This window comes from Homo sapiens, chromosome 7, assembly GCF_000001405.40.
Source record: "Homo sapiens chromosome 7, GRCh38.p14 Primary Assembly".
NCBI classification, from domain to species: domain Eukaryota; kingdom Metazoa; phylum Chordata; class Mammalia; order Primates; family Hominidae; genus Homo; species Homo sapiens.
The window spans coordinates 85,137,623-85,164,089 of record NC_000007.14 but is presented as its reverse complement, the minus strand read 5'-3'; the positions used below and the strand labels follow the sequence as shown (position 1 = coordinate 85,164,089).

General features: G+C 33.9%; 1 protein-coding gene across 5 annotated transcripts in view; it reads left to right on the top strand.

Annotated features, from left to right (window-relative positions):
* The window catches only part of SEMA3D (semaphorin 3D), a 254,691-nt gene that overhangs the window by 86,154 nt on the left and 142,070 nt on the right, over positions 1-26,467 (top strand). For 3 of the 5 annotated variants that reach the window (NM_001384903.1, NM_001384902.1, NM_001384900.1), the window contains one exon: positions 10,351-10,482. The exons of the other annotated variants lie outside the window; for them this stretch is intronic. The gene's annotated coding sequence lies outside the window, so the exon portion shown is untranslated. The remainder of the gene's footprint in view (positions 1-10,350; positions 10,483-26,467) is intronic. 5 annotated transcript variants of the gene reach the window in all.

Sequence of the window (26,467 nt, the reverse complement as noted above, 5' to 3'; positions counted from 1 at the left end):
CATCAACTTTATTGCAAACTAATTAGCATTTTGAAAAGTTTTCCAAAAGAGTCTGAAATAAGATGTGTAGAGTTTATTTCATAGTAAACATTCAAAAAAGATTGGTGATTATTACTTATTATTGATGTTTCCATTTACAAAATAAAAATTTATAACATGAAAATTGAAGCTTTTCTTGTTAGAATGGGAGTCTGTAACTTTACTCAGTTCAAGTTATATTTGAAAGATTGGCAAAAATTACCTTTCCTTACTGTTTCTGAAAAGCATTCAGATACGAAATGCTTGGTTATTTACTTGAATCAGGATTGAAACATTTGGCTGGTTGAAAGCAATTCTGGGAATGAGAATAAGTGAGCCACTTTAAATGATTAAAGCTGGATTTCTGAATTGGGTCTTTCAGAAATAAGGGGCTTCTTTGCCCATTTTCCATGAATTTACATTTTTCATAGTAAATTGTCTTGGATCAGATAAATTTTAAGTAACATCTTTCACTTTATTCATTACTTTAAAAAATTCATCTTTAAATTACCTAGTTATTTCCTACTGTCCTGTTATCCTTTCTGTTGGAGAGTTGATTCTTTTTTTCTTATTTTTCCATCATGCTGATCATTTTTATAGCCTTTTTTTTTCCAGATTCCATTTCTGATCTTTGAAGTATTATAAATCTTTCAAGACTTTGGAAATTAAGATTATGTTTTACTGTTCACTCTGGTGACAAGCACTGTATTCTTTGCTTTATAACAATTTTCTTACTGAATTCTCTTGATTTATTGTGTGGTGGGTGATATTACTTTCTCCTTTTTCAAGTGAAGAAACTGAGGTATAGAGTGATTAAATAACTTGCCCCAATTTCCTCCTACTAAGCTGTCAAGATAGAATGTGGAACCAGGCAGTTTGATTTTAGAGTTTAAGTTCTTCACTGCTGCACAAGCATTGGCTCACTTTCATGGAGAGGCCACTTTCCAAGTGCCTTTTTTTTTCTTTTCTTTGTATTCTGTTTTACTTTCTAATCTTACTGTATATTTTGGATATGTATATACTTCTTTTATATTCTTACTTCACATCCTTGTCTTTCCTTCTCGTTAGCTCACCTCCTTGGATGTCCTCGGCCTCTAAACCTCTGCCTTATGACATTCAGTCGCTGACTCAGTTCCTTTACTTCTGTCTTCCAAGGAGTCTGAACATTTTAAATGTTATTTTCCTTTCAGTCAGTTCCAAGATGATGTTTGCCTCTGCTAAGTGTATTTCCTCTCAGCTACTGGAACCTTCTGTTCTGCAGATTGCTCCTTGGTGCATTTAGGAAGACGTTGTCAAGTTTCTTTTTGTGCATATGCTTGTTTTCAGTTTCTGGAAACTTGACAGAGCTTCCAGTCTTTTTCCACGTTCTTCCTCAGGTTTTCCTCACCCTCCCAGTACACGTTTCCCATATTGTTCTTCCTTCCACTTACTGCTCCACTCCACTGCATCTTTAGAGTGTCCTTTTGTTCTAAATGCTGAAACCTACCTGAAATTTCTGGCTTTTTTTCACTGTGGCATGAGTTGCATTTTAATCAACTATGACATGTCATTCTTAGAAAACAAAGGTCATTCAATGAAAACAAATGGCTATGCATTCTGGAAACTTAAGCTAATAACTTTTGTTATTATTAATTTTTACCTGATCTACGTCACCTGCTTCTTTCATTTTTCTTTCACAATAATTTCACTTTTAATGATTCCCAACAAACTTATGATAAGGGTGTGGTTTTATGCAATAATCACTGTTTTGTTAACTCTGTGTTTACTGATGCTGTGACTTAGTACATGAATTGCGCAGGACATACAGTGCAGTGGAAGGATCACTTGTTGGGCAGTTGGAGGATGCAGGTCTTTGCTGTTGTTAGCCCTTCTTTCTACTTGACTTTGGCTGCTCAGAAACCCCTCTGATTCTTGCTTTGTTACTTGTGAAACAGAGGATGAGGAATATCTAACTCCAAAGCTGAAATTAAGATGAGATTAAAAAAAAAAACACGTTTTACAAATTGGGAACAGCTACGAAACAGGTACAGATTATTATTATATTGACTCTCAAAGCACAGAGATGAGTGTTTATCAGACAAGCAAACACATAAAATGAAAACAAATGGACAGTCTGACTAGAGTGAGAATTTCATTTCTTCAGAGTTTTCTATTGTGCATCAGATGTTTCTTAAAATGCAGAAATCTTCACTTTGAGTTTTAATAAAAATATATTTGTATGCGGCACTGTGAATATTTAAGTTGTAAGATAGTGGATGACATACCTGTTTTGCTAACTCAAATATCATAATCCAAAAATAATACCTGTGTGGGTAGTTCAGTTTCTTCCTATAATGGGTATTACAGAGTGATTCATAGAAAAAAACACAGATTGGCCTATATGTACATGCAACATATGGTTAAGTAAGTCCCACCTAAGAATTGTTTGCTTCCTTCTGTGAAGAGCCATCTCACTCCTACGTGAATGGTAGTTGTTTTCCTCTCTTCCTGCTTCTTGCAACTCTCCCCGCCTACTCCACCCGCAACCATCCTCAGTTCCAGCCCTGTCTTCTTTGCCCCTCCAGAGGCCATGGGTGCCTGGGTTTTTCATACCCTGCAAAGTTACAGCAGGGGAGGGAGGAACAATTTTATGATTAAAACATTATAAAATATTTATGATTTATTTCTGTATCTATCTATATGTTATTTATATATTTTATATTTACCCCTATTGCTAATTATGTGAGTGATTCATTCACATTTTAATATTTTAAAATATTAATTTGCAAACCAACACAAAGAATCACTGTAAGCCATGTTAAAAGGACCAATTATTTGATTTTATTTAGTTCCCTTCTGGAAACTGCTGAATTAATTTACTATTTCAGGTGAAGACTAGTGTAACAACAAAACATGGAAGATAAAGCTAAAATTTTTAGTCCCTTTGGAAATTGAGTTTGAATTATTATTAATTTTCTGATATTTCCTTATTTTATGTTGATTGTGTTGTCTTCCAGAATCATGGTCACCCTCTGTGTGGTCAAGTTGCCTGTATTTTATTTACATTGTCCGACTGATGTTATCCATTCCCCTCCTCCATACGTGCAAGTAGTCATTGCTTGCATTTTTATACTTCACTTCCTAATTTTAGGGTTGACTTCTTTTCTGCTTCATTGCAATTATTCTTCATAAACCTCTTCTCCTAGTAAAAAATTAAATAATACTTTCTTCCCCCAGAGTTTTGATATCTTTTACTGGTTTGCAGAGAGGTACTTTGTCTATCAACTTGTTGCTCATCCAAGTTGAGCTTCTTTAGTGCTTTAATCTTCCATCAGAAATCATCTTTCTTTGTATCTTAATCATTTTTCCATCATGTCTCTGAACTCCTTCCAGCTTCCCTGCACCTTTTGGATAATGAGAAGCCTGGGTCTGAACACCAGGTGCAGTCCCACCAGTCCTGTTTAGGAGGGTCCCATTACCTCCTGTGCTGCTATGATGTTTTCTTGTTCCCCAAGGTTCTCATTAGAATGATGATGCGTGTTTCTACAGGCAGAGAGTCAGGCAAACCGCATCGCCCCCATTTGCCTAAGCTGCCTTCTGGCTAATTCTTTTTCCATCGTGGAAATCTCAGTTTCAATTTCTCTCTCTCTTTCACTATGACTCTGTCTCTCTTGTTCTTTATAGTATTTATTTTACTCATTCTGCCTGACTCAGATCTTATTCATGTGTTTATTGACTTCCTTATTTTTTTTTCTATATTTCATCAGACCCATTATCTTCCCAGTCCTATACTTTCATGCTGGGTTGATAGTAATCTCTGTCATTCTGACTGCATGTTCATCCATCTCTTAACCATATCAATTTCGTTCACACTTCAATGGTAAAAAAAACACGTATTTACTTGTATTTATATAATGCCTTACCTTTTTGTTTTCTATCAGATCAATAAGTAGCTTGACATTATCCTGTTAGGCTTGAAAACTCAATTTTATCAAAGTGGAATTGAGATATATATTATTTTCAGTATTACTGTTTGCAGTTCAATAAAATAACAGTTCAGTTTTTAATCCACAAATGATATAGTTCATGGAGAGATGTGGTAGATATGATACCTCTGGAGTAGTTACCGTAGAACTTATGGCTTGTGTTTCTTGAACACTAGTTGGTCATTCTCTCTTCCTTCACTTCCTTCTTTCCTATCTTTCTTGCTTCCTTCCTCCAGTCATATAATGGTTACTGAAATCCTACTATCTGCAGGACAGTGTGAAGGAAAGAGTATGCACTGGTATTAGATAGCCTGCTGTCAAAGTGAATAGCTCTGCAGCTACATCAAATCATTTACATTCTGTCACTGTGTTCTCACCCATAACTGGAGTGGAGTTCAGCACTACGATGATTAAGTGAGAATAAGACATCATTTTATTCACAAATTAGAAGCCTAGTTAGAGATAAAGCCATAATAAATTTTTGGATAATATTGAGAAGAACCTTGACCACTTGAAAAGTTTGTCTTTCTTGTTTATAAAACAACACATGGCTCCCCATTGCCTACCAAATCAATTGCATCAAAACACCTTCAGAGTACACATGTGGTTTGTATATGACCAGAGGATGGAAGTGACAGAAGATGGAAAATAATGTAATGGTTCATGAATTAGGTAATAAAGACAGATGAGGACTAGAGTTAGAGGAAAATTTGAGTCTGGCACTTTAGATTTGGGAACCAATTTTAAAGTCAATGACTGTTAAAAAGGGGTAGATTCTGTCCTACCACCTGGAGTGTTTTCATGATTAATCCAGATTCCTTATCACCCCTCTTTGACTTGCTGCAATGAAAAATTTGAAGATGATGGCCTGGAAACTGCAATTTAACACCCTCCTCTACCCTTACTGACAGTTGATTTATGTGTTTATACTAGGTTACAAATTTTTAGCTGAAAGTGCAGCCAGTCATTGTCAAAATAAGAGAATATCAGGGTCTAAGATAAGTATGAGGAAAAAACAGACGAAAGGGGTTGAGGAACTAAAGGTGTTGGGTCCCACCAGTAGCTGAGGTGATGGTAAAGAGAGTGATGTGGGTAACAAAGCAGTTAGACACAATAGACACAGTCAGTGAGAAGGGGAGAAATAAGTCACAATGAGGAATTTGTGGAAAGGGCCAGAAATTCTGAGTTTCTGATCTTAGTGAAACAGAAAAAATTCTGATGATATATCAGGTGAAATTCACCTCTGATATTTCATGTATGTTCTTTTCTATTTTCCCTAAGTGTTGGCTGGTCTGAGAAATAAAGGGACAGAGTACAAAAGACAGAAATTTTAAAGCTGAGTGTCCAGAGGAGACATCACATGTGGGCAGGTTCCGTGATGCCCCGCAAGCCGCAAAACCAGCAAGTTTTTATTAGTGATTTTCAAAAGGGGAGGGATTGTACGAATAGGGTGTGAGTCACAGAGATCACATGTGTCACAAGGTAATAAGATATCACAAGGTAAACAGAGTCAGGGTGAGATCACAGGACCACAGGACCAGGGCAAAATTAAAATTGCTAATGAAGTTTCAGGCAGGCATTGTCATTGATAACATCTTATCAGGAACTAGAGTTTGAGAGCAGACAATCGGTCTGACCAAAATTTATTAGGCAGGAATTTCCTCGTCCTAATAAGCCTAGGAGCGCTACAGGAGACCGGGGCTTATTTCATTCCACAGCTATGATCATAAAAGACAGCCGTCCCCAAAGCGGCCATTTTCGAGGCCTCCCCTCAGGGATGCATTCTCTTTCTCAGGGATGTTCCTTGCTGAGAAAAAGAATTCAGCAATATTTCTCCTATTTGCTTTTGAAAGAAGAGAAATATGGCTCTGTTCTGCCCAGATCACTGGCAGTCAGAGTTTAAGGTTATCTCTCTTGTTCCCTGAACACTGCTGTTATCCTGTTCTTTTTTCAAGGTGCCCAGATTTCATATTGTTCAAACACACATGCTTTACAAACAATTTGTGCAGTTAACGCAATAATCACACGGTCCTGAGGTGACATACATCCTCCTCAGCTTGCGAAGATGATAGGATTAAGAGATTAAAGTAAAGATAGGCATAGGAAATCACAAGGGTATTGATTGGGGAAGTGATAAATGTCCATGAAATCTTCACAATTTATGTTCAGAGACTGCAGTAAAGACAAGCGTAAGAAATTATAAAAGTATTAATTTGGGGAACTAATAAATGTCCATGAAATCTTCACAATTTATGTTCTTCTGCCATGACTTCAGCCGGTCCCTACGTTCAGGGTCCCTGAATTCCTGCAATAATGATACTAATCCATGTGCTTTGGGCGACTGAAGTGAAAACGTGAAGACTGTTGGGTGTTGTTGAGGAGAAGAGCTACACCTCTGCCCAGCAGAGCCTTTGTTGGCTTGTTTTGTTTTGCTTTGTTCTCCCCAAACAATGTTGATGTATGTACGGCATAAACTGATGCAATTTATTTACTTATAAGCCTTGCAAAATACAAGTAACAAGAGAAATATGAGATCATATTGGGACATGGTGCGAAAAGCTCAGACATCAGAGTATTATAGGGAGCACATTTTAGACAGTATACATAAAGTGTAGGCAAGGGTCAAACTGTGAAGAAAAGACACATAAAATGTACAATGGGGAGCTGGTTAAGCATACCAAATTGTCAACTTATAAAAGCATCTTTCCAGGAATTTAGTCTCACTTGGAGAAACAAAAATCTTTTGGTTAATATTTTGAATATAACCAGAATCTTTCATACATGTTATTTTTATTATACTATGCTAATATTTTAACATTGATATCAAAACTGTTACCATATTTGATATTGTTAACATAATTTATTTATTAACTGCCACATTTTTAGTATTGACTTTCTTTATCCATCTAAGCAAATAAGGATGAAATTTTATTATTACAAAAACAAGAAATAGAATAAAACCCTAGGTCTATTTTTTTTTAAACAGACTAAAAAGGTAGGCTGTGCCAGAAACAGTGAGACATTCTGTATTTCAAAGTGCCATTTATTCCTGAAGCACGTCAGACTCTGCACAGTGACCTTCTGTGTTTATCTTTATAAAGAGTAGAGTAAACCATTATGCAAACACACTTCCATTTGGGCACTGTAGTGCCAAGTGTTAATGGCATCATTATTCCAAACAAAGCATGTTTAGAACCATTACTTTTTGTTTTATTTTTCTTGTGGGGATTTCCATAAACTGTCTGTGGGCTATAAGATATTTGCATGATATAACTATTTTCTTCTTACTGTCTGTTATGCTAATGGTATTTTGTGGTGTTTTTGGTAAACAGGTTGATTTACTTCATAAAGAGCCTGTTTAAAAGATTACTTTTTAATCTGTGTCAGCTCTCTTTCTTTGTGTGTCCTCTGTATTTCATGAATATAAATGGCCTATTGATGATGACTTGGGTGGAAAATGTAAGCAACTCATAAGGAGATGAAATTTGCTCATAAATTAGGATAAATTCTTAAAATTTTTCAATACCAAATTAAAATGTAGTTAAGACCATAGGTCTTAAAGCGATATTATTTTTCTGAAATGTGATTTTTATAACTTTATACTCTGGAAAATTCGATTATTCCTTTAAGTTGGAAGAATCAAGCTCTAGAATTCTAGGCAATACATTGAAGTTGGAGATTGCTTTATTATCTTAAGAATCACTTGTGGCCAGGTGTGGTGGCTCACGCCTGTAATCCCAGCACTTTGGAAGGCCGAAGGGGTGGATCATGAGTTCAGGAGATAGAGACCATCCTAGCCAATGTGGTGAAACCCCATCTCTACTGAAAATACAAAAGTTAGCCAGGTGTGGTGGCACGCGCTTGTAGTCCCAGCTACTCAGGAGGCTGAGGCCAGAGAATCACTTGAACCCAGGAGGTGGAGGTTGCAGTGAGCCGAGATCTTGCCACTGCACCCTAGCCTGGGTGACAGAGCGAGACTCCATCTCAAAAAAAAAAAAAAAAAAATCACTTATATTGCAGCATAATGCAAGATAAATTAAAACATTATTTTGTCTACATTTCTAAGCTAATATGTATATATGTAACAAATAGGTGATAAAACTAACAATTATCAGAAGAAAAATGAAAATAATTAATAATTGGATAGGCCAGTGCACATTTGGAATTAAAAGCACATCAGCTAAAATAAAGGGAATTGTGTAAGTGTGACATAAGTCATATTGTTCATTCATATTTTCAAGAGCTCGGCATTTAATTGTTGTTGACTGAGGTGCCACAACTTCATGAGATATCAAGGGCTCATTACTTGTTGCTCTATGATAAATGCAAATATTATCTCTGGCAATATTAAATGTTTTATAATTTGCATTCTGTTGAAGAGCTAACCCTCATTAGAAATAAATATATAACTAAAATAAAACATGAATATATGTATGTATGACATCTCTAAAAGGTAAATAAGCTGTTTTATAGTACCTAAATGTATAAGTGAATCATTTGCAAAATGTCTTTAATTAACACCACCTATTGGGCCTGTTCCCTGATTTGTCTACTATTTAAGATTTGTGTACTTTTGCATGTTACACCCCTGTTGGAAATACATTAAGTTTCAGTATGACTAAATGTTATAAGGGGTTTAATATGTACCTGTGGAAAACAAAATAACTAATGAACCCATCAGGGAGATTAAAACTAAGATGATAGCCTCATAAACACTAAACTCTAATGGATAAGTAACTAGCATCCAAGAGATGTAGTGCACAGTAAGACATCTATTTAGTTATATATTTTTATCTCTTAGCAATATATATATTTAACTTACAAGAGAAAATACAAAATTTTTATTCTGGTAGAGTGTTTAGGGGTAACGTATATGGATATCATTGTCCTGCTTTGAAAAACTTTTTTTAAGTCAGATGGACTGGCAGGAATGCATAGTGTGATAATAAAGCAAATGTCAAAAAAAAAAGTGTAGAATCTAGGTGTGGGTGTACAGATGCTTTCTGTATACTTCAACTTTTCTGCATGTGTGAATTTTTTATAATAAGATGTTTGAAAAAACTTTGCAATGCAAGATGATTACATTATTTTTAAAGCAATCAATTTGAAAAACTGTGGAGATGACAGTAATAACATGACACAATTCTTTATATATAGAAAGACAAGTTATGCTTTATCTTTAAATGAATACCTTTAAAAATAATGACATCTGAGCTTAGCTAAATTCTTTTCAGACTTATGCATATTTTTTGTAAAAAGGTTTTACTCTTTTCTCTTTAGATTATGTGTTCAAACCTAATTATCTTTTATGGTTGTCTATTATTTAGGGCCAACCTAGACTTATCACCTTGTGTTGTATTTTAGTCAATGCACTTACTCAGTTTTATGGTTCTCTCTGGTACGTTTACAAAGTGCACTTTATACTGCACTTCTAGTTTCCTATAAACAAGGAGACAATCTGTTCTACTGTATTTCAAATCACTGCCATCCTGACCATTACTTCATTTGCAATAAAAGTCACAAACTGTGCAAGTGCATTTCATACATGTTCATTTCCAAGGTGTTAATAAGTAAATGTCTGGTCAGCCTTGGTACAGAGAAAGAGAAAGTAACAGACATCCCCCAACCCCCGCCCCACAACATGGTAGGATTTGCATGAGGCTTGATGGGATACCAAGAGTATGATTCGCTGCCCATTTCCCTGAGGCTCCCTTCCATGGGAACATCCATGTTTGTTCCATCTTTCTAAAAAATAAAATAAGATTTCTATTGAAAGGTAAATGTTGTCAACCACTAAGAGTTATTAATAACTGAGCTTTGACAAATGTATGTCCTAGCCAGCCCTGAGAAAACTGGGCTTGGGGAGAGTTTGGAACTTGGGAATTCTCTGTAGTGTCTGAACATTCCTTAGTTTAGCAGGCACAGGAAATATGATGGCTTGGAGGTTAGGCAAGCAGAAGCAAGCAGTAAGGCACTGTAAGCAGTAAGGAGCAGATAAGGGTTTCTGTAATGGTTGATTTTATGTGTCCACTTGACTGGGCCATGGGGTGCCCAGACATTTGGGCAAATATTCTGGATTTGTCTGAGATGGCATTTTTGGATAAGATCAACATGTGAATTGGTAGACTGAGTAAAGCAGATTGCCGTCTGTCATGTTGGTGGGTCTCATCCAATCAGTTGAAGACCTAATAGAACAAAAAGCTTGACATTCCCACAAGTGGGAGGGAATTTCCTCTTGCCTGGCTGTCTTGAGCTGGGATATTTATTTTTCTGCCTTTGGACTTGAACTGAAACATCTGACTTTCCTGGTCCTGGAACCTGAAGGTGTTTGGACTGGAACTACAGTATTATCTCTCCTGTTTTTCAGGTCTTTACACTTGGACTAGAACTGTAACATCTGCTGTCCTGGTTGCCAGGCTTTTGAACATACACTGTTGGTTCTCCTGGATCTTCACCTTACCAACTGCAGATCTTGGGACTCATCAGCCTCAATAATTATGTGAGCCAATCTCTTAAATAAACCTCAATAGATAGATAGATAGATAGATAGATAGATAGATAGATAGATAGATGCATTTCTCCTACTTGTTCTGTTTCTCTGAATAATTCTAATGCACTGTCCTTGGGCTGATGTGATTGGAGAGGAAGCACTCTACATGACAGTTTGTTAAGGCAAACTTTGGATAATCTATGTCCATACTACATACAATGTTATTTCTAGACATGATCACTCCAAGATGTTGGAATTCAAATAATGATTGGGTCTCTGCTGTATCATCTTAATGACTCTTGAAACAAAAATAGCGTAAAGTAATTGTAATTCTTTGAGTCCTGTTAGTTATATACAGTTGACCCTTTAACAACATGAGTTTAAACTGGGTGGGTTCACTTATATTAGAGTTTATTTTTTCAAACAAACAGATACAGTATTCTCAGGATGCAAAACCTGCTTATACCAAAGGCAGTCTTTTTGTATAGTAGGGCTCTGCAGGGAGGACTGTGGGAAATTTTGCACACGTTGGCATATGAGAATGGCAGAGTTCCTGGAACCAATCTTTGGTGTGTATCAAGGGATGAATATACATTATAACATTGCCATTAGGTTAGGAATCATCTGCAAATAGTTATTTACCTCTCTCAGAATTAGCAGGCATAGCTTTCTTGTGATTGCTTGATTTGAACATGTCACAGTGTCCCAGTTCCTTAGGCTGCTAGACTTGACTTTGACTTGCATCAGTGACTACTTTTGCTTTAGCTCCAGAACTAAAGATGAACAATTATGGTAGTCCCTTCTACTATTTTATTTGTTGTATAGAATAACAAAATACACCATGTAAGCACCAAGTAATTTATCAGTTTCTAATCCTAATACATGTTTTTATTTGTTTTCTAAAATATACTCTTTCAATATAAATTATTTTGATGAGATTATTCATCTATGTTTGAAGACACATTGCTTGTATGTAATCTTGGCAATGCTCTATTATTTTTAGTTATTACTATGCAAAAAATCAACATCATATTCTGTTATTGTTGTGTTGTTTCATTGTTTGATAGGCATAATTAATAGCTCTCATTTTTCTTTTACTATAAGATTGTGATTAACATTTTAGGCACTTAGCCTGAGATCACTTTCATCGTAGTTAACTTGTCTTCTTCCACAAATCAGACATAGTGTTGTCCTCAGATTATAAACTATTAATTTTAGGGCAAGAACAATGATGTCTTTTGACTACCATATAATTTAATTTGGTGATCGGAGATCAAATTTAATTGTAAATATTGATACCTCTTTTATTTGCTTATGGCCCACAGTGATTCTTTTACATGCATCTTTGGCTTATTCTAACAATCAGTAAGAGGTAATTCATTCATTACTTATTTACACATTACCGTAAAATTTGTTTAACAGGTACTTGAAATAATCAAAACCAAAGATTAAAGAACCCTCACTCTGAACAAAGAAATATTGTCCTACAAGTAAAGATAGGTATAAAATAAAACATAAAAACAAGACAAGGAAGAGATAAATGGTTAATAAATCAAAGGGAGACAAAATTGTACAGTGGTTATGAAATCAAAGATTATGAAATTTAAACAATTTTTTCATATATTCAGTCAAGAAGCTATAAGATAATGAACTATTCTATAATTAGAAAATAAAGAAAGCATCTCAAGGTATATAATACAATTGTAAGAGATGTTCTTTGCAAAAAAGTTTTGTGGACTTTTTCATTATTTTTATCAAAGTAAGGTCAAAAAACTTTTTTTTACAGACAGTCTAAAATTTGGAATTTTAAAATAGGAATTTAAAATTTTCTTCTAATATAATAGTTTAAGTTCTACTTCAGGTCAATGTGATGAACTAAACAGAAAATATTACCACAAAAAGCTCTACCAGTACAAGATGCTTTGAGAATATGAAAGAAATAGTACTAAATACACTATAATATACTGAGAATTGCATACCTTGATCACACACACACACACACACACACACACACACACGCATACACACATGCATACACACATCAACTACGGTGCTCTATTTTAACCAGCATAGAAATATATATTGTCTAATCCCTAGTTCTGATTAAGAACTCCCTAGTTCTGATTAAGAACTATATTCTTTCTGGAACTGATTTTGAAAATAATCTGCTACTGTTTTTTAAGAGTATCACACTGTTTTTGTTTGCTTTGTTTTAATTTGGGGTTGGGAAAAATTTCCAGAAATCTTCTATACATGTATAAACTTGGAGATGTTTACCTGGTTTATTTTGAAGATTTCCAAAGTGAAGAATGAAAAAAGAAATGAGGACAGACTATACAAGCCCAAATTAAGGAATGAGAAAATGGACCATTTTCTTGGGTTGACAACACTTTCTCTATTCAGGTTTACATAGGGTTTTTGCAGCAATTTTTTTTACATAGTTTTACTAGACTTTCAGTCTCAGTAATATCAGATAACGTCTCTAATTATATATGTGCGGTGTGTGTGTGTGTGTGTGTGTGTGGATTTTTTTTATTGTAGGTAACAGTGCTGTTTAAAATTTATATTGCTTAGTATTTGAGAAACTTTCAGGTGATATTAAGCTTTTAAATAGGTTAAGCTTTTAACTGAGTTAAATTGCTTTAGAACTTTAGAAACATTGTTTTAAAATATTATTTTGTTTGTCTAACATTTACAATAAAAGGAATTAACAGGAAACACAAAATAACACCATTCACCATTCACCACAGAGGGAATTCAATGTAAAGAAAGTCATCTTTGGATCCTTTCCAGTGTGGCTTAATTGTGGCACCACAATAAGGGCATTGTTATGCCAGGTCTTACCTACTTCATTACTTTATACATAAACTCAGAGAACTGAAATATAGAAAAGCTGCGATGACTATAATCTTCTAGGTATAAATGTAGCAAAAGCTAGAAGATACTGAAGAGTAAAGGAGTTAAAATGAACATTAAGATGTAAGCAGTAAATTGATTAGTACATTGCATACACAAATTCTCCTTCAGGTTTCAGGTTTGATTTGGGAAGTGATTCTATTTACAGAATATATATATATTCTATATATATAATATATATATCCCTGTAAATATATGTGTGTGTGTGTGTGTATATATATATATCCCTGTAAATATATGTGTGTGTGTATATATATATCCCTGTAAATATATGTGTGTGTGTGTATATATATATATCCCTGTAAATATATGTGTGTGTGTATATATATATAATATATATATATATATATATATTTCTAGAAAAGTATTTAGAACAGAAATATCTTTCCAAGATTTTCAGTTCTTAGTACCGTAACAGCTCAAAATTTTTTTCATCACACCTCTAGGCCAACAAACAAATACCAAGAATTCTGACTATTACAGTTAAGGCCAAACAACTAAATAAGTATTTATGTCCTGACAACATAAATTAAAACAAAAAAAAGTTTTACATGTTTTAAATTTAAATATTCTTAAATTACATATGAATTACTTACTAATGGTGAGTGCGTATGTGTTGGGCACCGTACAACTTCTCAAACCTTGGAATCAGATTGAACACTGAGATCCTTAGTACCTGTTCCATGAGGACTTTTGGGGATACTTGCTTTACTAAGAACCCAACTTCACATGGCTATGACCCCTTGAATGTAACCCCCTTGAATGTTAAAATTAAGAAATAGCTTGACTAGTGGTTAATACAGTGTCTGATAAATAGTGAGTATTGTTGTGTTTATCTTGAAATTTTAAAATATCTTACAGCATTCCTGATGAGTTCACTGTATTACTCCAGAGTGTCTTGCACATAGTTTTGGAATCACAGTGTTAGACTATTAGATGCTAATGTTAATCGTAGCCCCTGAATCTTAATTGAGAAGTCCAATAGCCTCTGACATGGTGGAAGTGAATGGAAGCACTGTAAGTCTACTATAAAAGCTCAGTATCTTCTTTAATGTCATTGTTTTCTGATTTTTCTCAGTCCATTATGGCAAATATTCCCTACGATTTATAATATCACAAAGTCTGTGACTGAAAATTTGATGTTAGCACTTACAGTGATGATAAATGAGACCATCATCATTGTTTGAGGCAAGTGTTACTTTTGGTTTTTGTTTGTTTGTTTGTTTTCATTTTTTGCTGTTTATTTATTTTTTGAGACAGAGTCTTGCTCTGTCATCCAGGCTGGAACGCAGTGACACGATCTTGGCTCACTGCAACCTCCTGGGTTCAAGCAATCCTGTCTCAGCCTCCCAAGTAGCTGAGATTACAGGCACGTGCCACCATGCCTGGCTAACTTTTTGTATTTTTACTTATTTATTTGGGGAGGCAGGGTTTCGCCATGTTGTCCAGGCTGGTCTTGAACTCCTGACATCAGGTGATCCACCTGCCTTGGCCTCCCAAAGTGCTGAGATTACAGGCATGAGCCACCACGCCTGGCCAAGTGTTACTTTTGTATTTTTAAGAAAATAATATTATCACTGTTTATTAAGACATTTTAAATTTTGACATAACATTTTAAGATTTGGTGTTATTTTGTGTTTCCTGTTAATACCTTTTATTGTGCAAATGGTTTCATTTTGTGTTTCCTGTTCATTTATTTTATTGTAAATGTTAGAAAAATAAAATATTATTTTAAAAAGTTTCTAAAGTTCTAAAAAAATTTAACTAAGTTAAAAGCTTAACCTGTTTAAAAGCTTAAAATCACCTGAAAGTTTCTCAAATACTAAGCAATATAAATGTTTATATAGCACTGTTACCCACAACAAAAAAAATCTACACACACACACATACATGCACACACACATGTACACACCGCACATATATAATTAGAGACATTATCTGATGTTACCGCGACTGATTTAACTAATTTTTTTCAAAGTTTCTAACTATATTCAGAAGAGCTACTTGTTTTAACAGTTCCTGTGAGATGTATTGTACTGAGAAGATAACTATATCTTCTCATGAGTCTACCCTAACTGCAAAGAAACCTGGGGGTGCTCCAAGGAAGGAGGTTTGAACTAATTTTTCGTTTTATCTCATTTTTGTGTTTCAGTAACCCAGTTAACTATATAAACATTGTTTCCTTTTAAAAACAAGTATCTTATAGAAATGTGTATTTACTCTCAGCTAAGGACGTTAGTAGAAATCTTATCTGGATTATTAGAAGAACTCAAATATGAGAGTCCTTGAACTAGATGATGTTAACCATTTCCTGCTTAGTAAACTGTGAGTGCCATCAGTGTCCACACTGAAAGCTCAAAACAGAACACTAAAACAAGTCATATTAAGATGAATAGTAAAAAATATAAGTTGTTTTGTAAGTGAAAAGGAAAACAAGATATGATGACAGAGAATTCTCACAGATCTCAGGGAGGGTTAATTAATGATCATCATTAATAGTGATACTTAGTAGCTGTTTCTGACACTTGTGATTTTAAATTCAAATTTTTACTTATTCATTTTTTCCATGTTTATTTTTAATCTTCATTTCCTAGAACCTACTTTGCTGATCAAGTTTCCATACCTTTAAATAGATTGTCATTGTGATCTCTGACCATAGAAGAGATAATTTGATTAACTTTTGTTCATTGGTTGAAATTGTTTACACCTACTAGGCAGTGGGTGTTTGAGAGAATAAAACCCAAAGCTAGTGTGGAGTGGGCTGGCATGTTAGGGACAGGGTGCACTCCCAGTTGAAAGACTGCTGAAAATTGATAGGGAGATGAGGCAGGGAGTTGGTCAAATGAATTAGGCTGTTAGGAAATAATAGGAAGGGTACTTCTCCTATGTTGTATATCCAGGACTGAGCCTGGTTATTTCATATATAACTACAAGATCAGAAAACAATAAATTAGCAGATATATAGGTAAGTGAAACAATATCAATGACACTAAAGCATTAGGATAAATAAATAATATTTAAATAATAAGGTACTTGAAAAAATTGATTCTTAAGATTTTCATGAAATTCTGTTATCTAAATATCAGAAAAATATATTTATAGATACAAGATTTTGCTTCTAAATTGATCAAGGCATTGTATTTTGCATTACTGGTATTAAATTGCTTTTTAACCAGGTTGCTAACAGCACATCTACAGATAGATATATTTACAGATAGTTAGAAACAGGGATTATTAGAAAGACTGACAGAGGCCAGGCATGGTGGCTCAAGCCTGTAATCCCAGCACTTTGGGAGGCTGAGGTGGGTGAATCACCTGAGGTTGGTTTTTGAGACCAGCCTGACCAACAGGTGGGCAGATCACTTGAGGTCAGGCATTTGAGACCTGCCTGGCCCACATGGCGAAAACCTGTCTCTACTAAAAATACAAAATTAGCCGGGCATGGTGGTGCATGCTTGTAATGCCAGCTACTCAGGAGGCTGAGACAAGAGCAACACTTGAACCCGGGAGGCAGAGGTTGCGGTGAGCCAAGATTGTGCCATTGCACTCCAGCCTGGGCAACAAGAGGAAAACTCCGTCTCAAAAAAAAAAAAAAAAAAAAAAAAAAAGAAAAGAAAAAGAAAAGAAAGAAAGATGGACAGAAAATTCCACTTCTGTGACTAGAACTGTGACCATCTCATGTTGATACTGTGGTATACGGAAAGATGAGCCCATTCTCTGGAGGAATGAACTATGTTTTTCCGGTTCACTTACTTCCTCCTAATTGCTGTACCAACATTCTTTCTTTTAGACTTTCTATTCCTGAAGCTACTCCCTTGAATTGTTCATATTAAATTTGCTACTCCTTTGAGTATCCCCACAAATCTGCAGCATCCTTTTGTAGCCTGCATCCATTCACTGGAGTCTTCTGCTTTGTCATCATCAAAACATATCTGGAGATTTTATTGTACATTTTTCCTGAAAGATATATTTGTAAACGGAAGACTGGTGCTTGTGTCTTATTTCTCCATTTCTTTTATCTGTGATACCTGCTATTAGGCTAGTTTTTATTTTCTTTCGAAAATATGACTTATTTCTTTTTACCAATACAATTGCATATCTTAAATGCAGAATTGTTAAGTAAAAAATATATATATATATTTTTTTTTAGATGGAGTCTCACTCTGTCACCCAGGCTGGAGTGCAGTGGCCCAATCTTGGCTCAATGCAACCTCCGCCTCCCAGGTTCAAGGGATTCCCCTTCCTCAGCCTCCCGAGTAGCTGGGGTTACAGGTCCTGCCACCACACCCAGCTAATTTTTGTATTTTTAGTAGAGATGGGGTTTCACCATGTTGGCCAGGCTGCTCTGGAACTCCTGACTTCAAGTAATCTACCCGCCTCAGCCTCCCAAAGTGCTGAGATTACACATGTGAGACGCCACTCCTGGCTAAGGATTTTTACTAGTAAAAGTGAAATGTGATTGTATGTATGTGTAAAAATACATATATGTATACATATGTGTATATATCTCATTAAAGAACTGTAAGATGTCATACAAATATAAAGTCGATTGGATAAGAAAGATTGAATTATCTATTTATACCAATTGGTTTTTCTTTGTATGTACAATTAGCCCTCTGTATCCGTGAGCTCCACACCTGTGGACTCAACCAACTATAGATCAAAAATATCTGGGAAAAAAAATATCTGAAGTTTCACAAAGCAAAACTTAAATTTGCTGCCCACTAATTTGTATGCTGAATCCAAGGGAATGAAATTATGTGTAGGCATTGTGTTAGGTTTTATAAGTAATCTGGATATGATTTAAAGTTTATAGAAGAAAAAAATGTATAGGGGAAGAGGTGAGTAGGTTATATGCAAATACAACATCACATTATATAGGAGACTTGAGTATCAGCAGATTTTGGTATCCAAGAAGGATCTTGGAATCAATATCCCACGAATCTTGAGGGATGACAGTGTGTTTTTAATCTCAAACTTTTGTATTTGAGAATAAGAAATCACTTCTCTTTGCAAATGCCTTATAATTTCTCTGCAATAAAGATCCTTCTTTCCACCAGATTTTTTTTTGGCTTTTTGTATTATTAAACATACTCTATCATCTTGCTTGGTGACAAGATGTGATTCCTGATAATTTCCTGTTCCTTTAATGGGAGTTCTTATCTATGAGTTGTAGATTTAGTCTTCCAAGATTCCAGCAACATAGCTTTTAGAATGGCATTTCCCCATTTATTATATAGTACTTAAATACCAAATAACTAAAAATAACTAACAATGATAGCATAAAAATATGCCAGCTTCTGCTTCTTATATAATTATTTGATTTAAATATTGTACTTTTATCTATCCCCCCCAAACCAATAAAACATTAAAGGCTTTTTGATATATTGTTCAGACCATCATATGTATGTCACCTTACACTTTATATTTGACTTCACTTTTTCATTCACGCATTTTTTTTTTGGTTTTACATAATAAATTTAACACATCTTTTGTGACATGTATTATGCCAGACTGGCATAAAATAAGGGTTAAAAAAACACTGTCAACATGATTCCCATACTTGAATGGCATCATTCCAGAAAGAGTTTAAAAATTTGGAATTAGATTTTTGTGATGCTCTCATTTCTATTCATAATTCAGAGCCCTTGAAACATTCCTAATGAGGTTTCAAGTATTTTATTTTTCCTCCGTGCTTTATAAACAAATAAAATTAAACCAAACCAAACACAAATAAAGCCAAGCTAGAATTGTGTATATCATCCAGCTGCTCCAGGATTTCTCTCTGAAACTTATCTGTTCTCCTTAGATAAATACAGTGGACACCAAAGCCAGATTAATTTATGATGACAATTTCTCTATCTTTGAAATGTTAATCATTGGGCTGGGATTAAAGTAGGAATATATAATAAATCCTAATCAAATTCTATGAAATATTATTATTTGCTTTACACCATTCAGACATATCATACTAGAGGCAAGGGGAAGAGAACAAATAAGAACAAACACAGCTTTAATTTTGGGCTCCAGGCTGACTTAAATGTTGGATATTGCAGGCCAGTTCCCAAAGGAAAAAATGTATATATGTGTATAAATTCTTAGAAACCCTGATAAAGATCCTCACGGAAATCCTGATGGTTGTGAGAATTGTGTTCATTTTTCTATTACATGAAGCATAAGGCAAAAAATATATCTCTATTCTGAGAATCTTTCCCCTCTATCTCACATAAAATATATTTTCTACCTCTGGGGAAGAGGATGAAGTGTGTGGGTATTTACATCTTGCTTTAGTTTCAAAGCTAGCTTTAAATTCAACTTTTATGTTATTTAATTTAATTAATTTAAATTTAATAAATGATACTCGATTCAGTTATCAGAAAACTTTTACATTTGTTTGAAACAACTTGAGTAAATTCAATCTCCTCTTTTAGTTGTAAATTTTATGAAATCAGAATACAAACCAATTTTTATTGCTAATAAAATTCAGCATCCACATAGAGAAAAACTGAAAATGTAAAATGCACACCTGAATCTGAAGACTTAGCATGAAAATGGTTTTTTGATTAATAATTTTATATTGTATACATGTTAAAATGATTATATATTGGATTAAATATATAAGAATTGGTTTTATCTGTTACTTTTTACTTTCATATATAACTGTAAGAAAATTTAAAATTACAAGTCTCGGGCCAGGCTCGGTGCCTCATGCCTGTAATCCCAGTACTTTGGGAGGCAGAGGTGAGCGGATCACTTGAGGTCAGGCATTTGAGACCAGCCTGGCCAACATGGTGAAACCCCGTCTCTACTAAAAATACAAAAATTCGCCAGGTGTGGTGGCGCATGCCTGTGGTCCCAGCTACTCGGGAGGCTGAAGCTTGAACCCAGGAGGCAGAGATTGCAGTGAGCCAAGACCATGCTACTGCACTACAGCCTGGGTGATAGAGCAAGACTCCATCTCAAAAAAAAAAAAATTACATGTCTCATATTATATTTTTACTAGAGAGCACTAGACGATATTATACAACTGGATTATATTACTATATATTACAGTCATGTGCTGCATAACAACTTTTCCATCAACTCACAGACTACACATAGGATGGTGTTCCCCTAAGATTATAATATTTTATTTTTGTTGTATCTCTTCTATGTTTAGATAAGTTTAAATACATAAATACTTCCCATTGTGTAACAATTGGTTATAGTGTTCAGTACAGTAACATGCTGTACAGATTTGTTGCCTGGGAGCAATGGGCTATACCCTATAGTCTAGATGTGTAGTAGGCTGTACCATCTAGGTTTGTTTAAGTTCCCTCTATGATGTTCGAACAATGATGAAATCACCTAATGACAAATTTATCAGAACATATTCTCATTGTTAAAGCATGACTGTATATTTTTATGCTATTCTTATTTTTAATCACTTTGAAATCACTGGAATTATAATAAAAGTATTAACATTTACTTTAGTGCATATATGTTAGACATTCTGCTAATCACTTTTCTCATATGACCTGATTTTATATGCAGGTACCATGTCATATCAGTTTCATACCTAATTGTGTGTTGTACCATGATAGCTATGTGATAGGTACTCATTGTCATTATTGTGAATAACTAATTGTAAGTTTGTCTTATTAGAAATAATTATTGCATTATGAGTAAACATATGAAAGCCATATTTATTGAAAAGATAAAAAAGTTTAGTAAGTTGTCTAAGGTAGAATTGCTCTTGGCATTACTTTTCCTAACTAAGATGGCATTGTCTCAGCATTTGGGATTCCCAGAGAAAGTCTTTTCAACTCATGGATATGGCTCAAGAAAGACATATTCAGAAAAGAAAAAGTATAAGATGGGTTGTATTTATTTTGAGAAACCATCACCCAGCCGAAGAGAGAAAAGGTTATTCCATTCACATCATGTGGTTAGTCTGGGAATCTTTCTAGTGTAAAAGCAAGAGGAGCCATAAAATTAAAGAAAACATTGATGGGGTTTTTAGACACTAAAAAAAAAAAAAAAAAAATGCCATCCTTCTTTGCTTTCTTCTAAAGAATCTCTTTCTGGACTCTCTGAAATAAAACAAATATCCAAAGCCTTTATTCTTCTTCCTAAAACTTGTCTACGTTCTGCTCTTGAGATCCATATCCAATGCAAATTGGGGAAAATACCATATTACCATGGAGAATGATTAAATAAAAATAGGACAACCGTGAGCTAGATGCCTTATTTCCCTGATGTAATCTGTGTCTTTTATAAATAAATTATGACATCTTTAGAAAGATTTTATTATTGAGTTTTAAATAAGGTTATAATTTCATGTCTAGAGAAATAAATTTTGATTTTAAAGCAATAAAATTCATATGGAATTAACTTTGGCTGACACTGAGGGTGTAGATAAAACTAAGTACTTTCTCAGTGTTTTACTAGATATTGTTGGTTCAAAAATTTATTATATTGGTAGAGAGATGATATCTCAAACCTTGATTAAATAAGCAATTGAGTAATTTAGAAATTGGTAAGAGACACTGAGCGAATTGTCCTTTTCAGCAATGTTGATATATGTCAATAATTGCTTAGAAATTTTAATACATCAAAACTAAAATGCATTGCCAACTTCTGTATAGTTCACAGAAACTTGGTTTTTTTTTTTCTCTTACCTTCTATTTTGCTGGCTATTAAATTTAAATAGTACCTTGATGCATTAAAGATTTGGTTAATGCATTTTTTAACTCTTTTTCCTATTCTCTTTTTTTGAGTGCAAAGTGCATTGCACACATCATAAATTAATACTGAGAAATCTAAATTTACTCCAAGAAGGTCTTTCAGTGAAGGCTTTATAAACTGGGCCCTTGTTTATTCTGTGTGTGGCCACTTTGGTTATTAGTAGGGGTTACACTGACCGCCTTTTCCCAGATTTATGAGACTTGGCAAAAACCTTGAGAAAACAGAGCCCAGTTTCTCTCAATAGAAAACATTATTAGATACTAAATAAACATTAATTTAGGTAAACTGGTACTATTCAGCCCAAAAGGAACATGTTCTTATTTAGATTTGCTCTGATGGGTGAAAGAATATGTGCCAGAAATGATTTATAGAGATCACAAAGAAGGGAACTTAAGTAATTTAAATTTCAGTAATAGTTAAGACTATCCTTAGAAAGACTTTGTGGTCATTCATGTAGGGCAGTGATCCTGTGCTAGGGAGGACATGCATCATGTCCTTCTTCCAGTGGAGAAAGATCAAGACACCAATCTTTTTTTTAAATATTAGCACAGAATCCCCAATAGTACAATGATTAATTTTCTCTGGATTCCAATAAAAACTGAGAAATAGGGCATACTGTGCAGTTAGTTGACATATGGTTTTGAAATAAATTATTAAGTTTTTGACAATGTTAAAATTCCTGAAGAGGTTAAAGCATTTTAAAAGGAATAACTTGAACTTGTCCCTCTTCAACAAGTTAATGTCATGAAAAATAAGAGAGGGGGTTAATATGTGTGCTATATTAAAAATGATAGTGCTGCAACTAGTTATAATGTGCTTAGAATTAGACGTCAAATTGGACAAATCACCTATAAAAACAGTTTTGAAACATCTCTGAAATTTTTAATGTGAACTGAATATTAAATAAAATGAAAACATAGTGATGAGTAAAGTGGAAACAATTAACTCATTAGTAGTTTATAAACTAGATTATTGATATAATCTCATTGTTGTAAAATACATTTATGTATATGCATAGAAAATAGGGAAAAATAAAGAAGATTTTAACAGTGATCATCTCTAACTGAGGTGTTGATAGGAAGATGGTGTTTTGATTTTCTTTTTGTATACCTACCATTTTTTTAATGGTAGAATGTGAAAAACTACTTTTATAATAATCACAGTCTATTATTAATGGAATAATTAAGCAGCAGCAAAATATACATTAATTCATTCATTATTAGGCCAATCCCCAGGGAAACCAGAAGAAACTTGTATTAAATAGATTTATCTCTTAATAATGACTCCTTAACAGAAGCACTTAATAATGTGTTCGTGTCTTGCAGGTTGTAGGCTATAGATTATAGGGAGTAAATAATATGATTATTATATATAGAGATATATAGATATAGATATAGATAAAACTCTGCTATAAAATGTTGGACAGAAATTTGTGCTGATGTTTGAAGTGACTATGATCAACAGTGTCTCAATTTTTCTTTTTAATGTAAGTGATCCTGTACATATCAGAACAGTAAGTCACCTTAAATCCCATCATCACTAGTCCCTTCATTTAAAGATGAGAAAACTGTAATTCACAAAAATAGAATAATTTACCAACATCTACTGGCTGGATGTAAACCAGACCTTAACTTATATGATTTCTAATGCCGTGCATTTTCACTCTGTCACAATCAAAGTTTTGCATATTTGAGGAAAAGAGAAAATGCAGAAGTCTTATTTAATAAATGAATTATTATTTTATATTGAGTAAAATAAAACATTTTTATTGATGTTAAAAAACATTAAATAAATGCTCTTATAAACTTAATTTTTTAATATTAGTAAATATGCTAATATATAAACATTTTGAAAATTATATGATAATAGTAGTCTGCAGTAATATATTGTTAATATATTAATGTAATTAATAGTAGCATGTGTAATAATTAATGACAGCATGCAACAAGTTTATCTAATTTAACTTGTTTTGATCACTTTTTCTGTGGTTATAATAGTTTACAATGTTGCCCTCTACTCAGGGAGGTAAAAGGTGTTTATTAGGTGTGTTTGTTGTGTGCTGAGAATAGTTGTTTATTCTGCAACAGCACTGTAAATAACAGTATTTATCATTTGTCTAATTCTTTGATAGAGAAATAGAATGTACATCTTAATATAGTCACAAAAAGAAGAAAATACAATAGTATTTCATAAGTTTTAAAATGGTTATTTTTTCTCACTTCAATATCTCTGAAATCAATGGCATCCTACAACCAATGCCATGTCATAGTTAAAATTGACAAGATTGTTTTCTTAGTGAGACATAAAATAATGAAGTATATTAAAATGACATCTTAGGTTAGATTAAATGTTATAATAAATAATATTTATTCACTTCTTTAGAAACATTTTCATTATAAGTTCAAAAGCATTGTTCTTAAAGAATAGCATTCATCTGTAGTCCCTTTGTGAAAAAGACAGAAATATTATTACATGGATTTCAGGATGCTATAAATCTTAACTTAAAAGCATTTGCTGATATAAAATGATGTTTTCATTGTGAAGATAAAATAGTATATATAAATGTATATATCTATTTGAATAACGATATTTTTGCTACATTGCATAACTCTTTAGTACTGTTTAAATCTAATAATCAGTGCTCAGATCTTACTTTATTGACATATTAGTAACATTTAACCCAGTGGCTCTGCTGATCACTTTATCTTCCTCTGATTTCTGATTCCTGTGAAGATTTCACAGGAATCCAGAGTCTTACATATTTCTCATTGTCCTTCTCCACAAGTAGATTTTACCAGTCTCAGTTGCTGGTTCAGCCTCATCTCTCTGACCTTTGAATAATGGAGTGTGCCAGGGATCAGTCCTTGCACCTATTTTTTCCTCTATCTGAATTTCTTCCCTTGGCAATCTCACCTCTCATAAATGCCACCCTTATACTTATGACTGCCAAAATTATACATTTATCTTTGACTACTGCCTTCACCTTTTGACTTTAATTCAGCTGCCTTCTCAATGTTGCCAGGTGAACGTCCAATAGAAAGCCAGAGCATATCCAAAACCAAATCTTGATCTTCCAGCAACCTCCAAAATGGGAGTTGAACAATGAGAACATATGGACAGGGGGGAATATCACACATCGGGGCCTGTCAGCAGGTAGGGGGCAGGGGAGGGATAGCATTAGGAGAAATACCTAATGTAGATGACGGGTTGATGGTACAGCAAACCACCATGGCACGTGTATACCTATGTAACCCACCTGCACATTCTGCACAAGTATCCTAGAACTTAAATTATATATATTTAATTTAATATATATATTAAATTAAATATATATAATTTAATTTATATATTATAAATTATATATTATAAAAGGGAGGCACAAAATGGAAAGAAAGGGGTGAAAGGTATTCATGTTAATACACATGTAATATAATTATGATATTTGAGTTATGTAAATGTTTTATATAATCAAAAAGCAAAACAAAAAAATAAGAAAAAAAGCTTAAAGTACACAAAAATTAGCCAGGCATGGTGGTGCACACCTGTAATCCCAGCTGCTCTAGAGGCTGAGACGTGAGAATCCCTTGAACCGGGGAGGCAGAGGTTGCAGTGAGCAGAGATCGTGCCACTGTACTCCAGCCAGGGTGATAGAGTGAGACTGTCTCAAAAAATAACAATAAAATTATGAATTAAAAAAGAATATCAGTTATTGCTCTTATAAAATTTACAGAACATTTTATTCCTAAAATTAATTAATTGTTTAATGAGTCAGAACAGCAGATAACTATTATGTTTCCTCTGTATAATTGTTTGACTTCTTATCTGTCTACTAAACATTTATTATGCTTTTACTTTGAGCCCATTCAGCTTCTATGGGCTATCTGAAGTAGATTTAAGAGAGTATACATTTTCTGTGCCTAAGCATCTTTCCAAATTTTTTGGAGAGGTAAGAGGCATGTAAAATTCAGGCCATATGCAAGAAAATTTGACTGTAAGTCGATGTAGTTGAGAAAAATCTGCTGTAGTTACCCTGGTAGAAAGTGTGTGAGTGTGTTGACCTCGAACTTACCCAGAAATGTTTTTTGGATAAGGTTGGATCAGGACAGCAGAACATCACACAGAGGAAGAAGGAAATGAATATAATTTAGATGGGATGTGTTCATTGACTATTTTGCCTGGAACAGGGAGTGCACATTGAGGAATAAGGAAAGTAATTTGTGTAGTTAAAGAAGGGATTTGGATACCAACCTAGGGAGTTTATATTTCAAATTAGAGATGGCATTATGAAAGCAAACATTTGAAGAAAACAAGCACAGAAAACAAATTATCCATTTCCAGGATTGAAGTCTAT